Here is a 3,172-nt window from a genome sequence, read left to right as displayed (position 1 = left end):
TTCCCAGATGGGAGTCAGCTAAGTTTGGTCTGGTTTTCCTTTCTCCTGTAAGAGACAGCACCGAGTTCAGCGACCCACAACTGCTCTGCTCTTGCTCGTCCAGCTTCCAGAGATGCTCTTTACACCATACTGCCACTGCCTAGGATAGGGAAGGGGCGGGGTCAGCGATTTAAGACTGTTTCTTCTAACTCTTCAGTGCCTCTTTCAGTGATACCACCAGGTACTATGAGAGTTCCCCTGATTTTGGGTTCTTATGGAGGTGTTTTCTACTGTGTGGATAGTTGTTAAATTTGTGTCCTTGCGAGGGGGCTGATCTGGGCAGCCTTCTATTCTGCTTTTCTTGCTCCACCTCTCTCAGCTTAGTTTTGGTTTGTTTTTGTTTGTTTGCTTTTCCTCTGCAATGCCTAAGGCTAAAGAATGTGATCCCGTATTAACTATCCTAAATATGAAAAATTCTTTAATGTCACGTGCTGGGTGGAAATATTAGTTTGCAATGAGAAGTACCTTCAATTGTACAGATCAAAGAGTAAGAAAAAAAGCATTGGGATTTTTTGTTTTTACCTTGTGGTCCGACAACTTGAAAGAATATTCTTTTATTCCAAAGATGGTACGTGGGGGATTTTGTTCTGGAAATCAGTGCTAGGTATTTAGGTATTTGGTTGGAGAAAAGCAAACTGGTTTTTGTCTATTGATATTTAGTATATTTTATTTTTTCATGTTATCCATGACAGTGTTATGACAGCAAGGAACAGTTACAAATAACTGAAATTGTAATTGCTCCTGCATTTTTATTTAACTCCCTCATGTATCCTGAGAAGACCTTCTTGTTTTACCTAATGATCTCTCCAACATCCCCTGAACTCTCAAGAGGTAGACACTATGTGAAGGTCAATTCAAAGACAGAAACTAAAACCCCATCCACGGGTGACTCCATGGTGAATCCCTGTGGTGTCTTTTCCCGCTAACCGATGTGTATCCACCAAGCAGTTTTCTTTTTCAGTATAAATATTATACTGTTTGACATTTTAAGACACATGGTAATCAAAATCTATAGCCTTAATTAAATGATGAATTTCAGGAAATTATCATGCAAAATGGAAGTGTTAGGAAGCCGATAATAGACACACTCTCCTAAAAATGATCTCACCACATCACACCTAACCCTTCTCACCACCTTGCAGTTCACATTCCATGGAAAAAAGCTCCTCATACTTAAGAGTGTTTTACTTTCCTTTTCCCAAGTCGTGGCGATTTTGACTATTCACACTTGCGGATATCAACACATTTCTAAAGCATGCTTATCTTGATTAAACACTGCTGAGGTTATTAAAACAGTAACATAAATATTTAAGATGCAGTGTACATTTTGTTTTAAAATTTGGCTTTTCAATCATTTCATTACATGCAATGCTTTCCTGCCGTTTACTTACTCCTACATCTACTATCTTCTTTTGTATTGTGCTTTGTGTTTTACAGAACATTTACGCTTTATAAAGCATATATTTCTAACCTAGGAAAATATCAAATGGAAAGGGGATGGGAATACCTTTGATATGTCCATTCAGCAGAACTATGTGCTGCCGGGTACAGTTGCGTGAACATATACACATCTCCACTTCCTGTGAGATAAAATTTTAAGAAGAAAATTTTCTTTAGGAATCAGTCCTCCCCCAGGCCTTATTTACAATGTCTGGCTTACTGTCAACCTGTGGGTCTGTCCACCAACCCTACAGGACCTCATATCCCTCCCTTCTCAAATGCCTACCTCTTCCCTTCCCTTCACCCCCCACCATCAGAAAACAGGCAGAGATATACACAGCCATCAGCTTCTCAAACTTTATTTTCATTGCCGAAGTTTGAGGGATGTAGCTTCTTGCTACTTTTTAGGTCTTTCAGTCGTTATTTCTATGAATTCCTCCTCCTCCATTTGGTCGGGGTTGATTCTGTTCTCTCGGGCGTGGTCATTCAGCAGTTCCTCTGGAGATGTTCTTTTCACGTTCCTCCTGTAGCGAACCACTAGTATGGTCGAGGACTCAGATGTTTTCATTTTTTTAGGAGCAGGTTGCGGGTCTGAGTCCCCAGTTGGGGTCTCCGGCATCTGTTAAGAAAACAGGGAGAGGCCAGGAGGACATTATTTTGGGTGAACAGGATAGAGACTGGATAGCAAGGGGGCTTCATGAGAAGAAGGAATGCAGGTTGAGGAAGGGGTTTGATCCAGAGAAGAAGAAGGTTGAAGCACAGAGTAGGGATCTATGGGGAAGAAGAAGAGGAGCGTGGGTAGGGTCACCTGTGAGTCCAAACTGCACCATTTTGTCAGTTCTTTGCTATTTTGCAGACCTTGGTCAAAGTGAAACATCCCATGGGGGTTCAGGCCGTGAGAAACATCCTGCCTAACCACCTGTCCGCAAGGCGGACAAAGGCCCAACTGAAGAAACATCCCTATCATATCTTGCTTGGCAGCGTTCTAAGGAACACCACAATGATATTCCACCAGAAAAAGGGCCAAACCACCTGATCATAAGAACATCTTATCAATATCCTGCCGGGCAGCAAGCCATACTGCCCAGGCCCCTCCCACCCCTACCTACAAGCACCCCAGGTTGTAAGCGGCGGTGGGCTCTGGCATTAAGCGGGCCCCCCACTTCCACAATGGTCTGCAATATTCCTGTGTTGTTGTTTGAGCCGCCCCCGCTCTGTGTGTCTTTCTTTCACCCTCGCCTTCACTTCAGAACCTAACAATCTTACCGTCTTGTTGGCCTCATTGGCCTCGTTGGCCTCGTTGGATTCACAGGGGACGCTCCTCTTCAGCCTGCGGACACTGGATTGTTGGCCCATTGTATATATTGGTTCTTCGATGTCTACAGTAGGTTTTTGGAGCTTTTGAATCTTCGCAGTGGCCCAGAGCTCTTGCCCTCCCTATGCATACCCTCCTGGTGACAAGGCAAAGCCACACCCTTGAGCTTTGTTTGATCATACAGGCAGTGTCCCAGCCAATGGCAGCCCTAGGGTGGCTTCGACGTCACAAAGCCCCACTGCTGACCACTCCCTGGGCTTGCGGGCGAGGGGTGACAGGGGTGTAGAGCAAACCAAATGCTGTTGTTGTTTCAGCATCCCCTGAAGATGCATCCCAAACCGATCTGCCGCCGCTCCTCATTTCTCCATGTTTAATGTT

General features: G+C 44.3%; 1 protein-coding gene across 1 annotated transcript; it reads right to left on the bottom strand.

The window, feature by feature from the left end:
* Positions 1 to 1,822: 1,822 nt before the first annotated feature.
* On the bottom strand, positions 1,823 to 2,935 carry SPANXB1 (SPANX family member B1). The gene is made up of 2 exons (NM_032461.4): positions 2,746 to 2,935; positions 1,823 to 2,098 (listed from the first exon to the last, which is right to left on the bottom strand). Exons 1-2 carry the CDS (start codon positions 2,833 to 2,835, stop codon positions 1,877 to 1,879), a joined length of 312 nt encoding a protein of 103 aa, NP_115850.2. The 5' UTR covers positions 2,836 to 2,935; the 3' UTR covers positions 1,823 to 1,876.
* Between the last annotated feature and the right edge of the window lie 237 nt (positions 2,936 to 3,172).

The sequence above is a fragment of the Homo sapiens genome, chromosome X (genome assembly GCF_000001405.40).
Source record: "Homo sapiens chromosome X, GRCh38.p14 Primary Assembly".
Lineage (NCBI taxonomy): Eukaryota > Metazoa > Chordata > Mammalia > Primates > Hominidae > Homo > Homo sapiens.
Note: the sequence above shows the minus strand (reverse complement) of the source record. Positions and strands in the feature narration are given on the sequence as shown.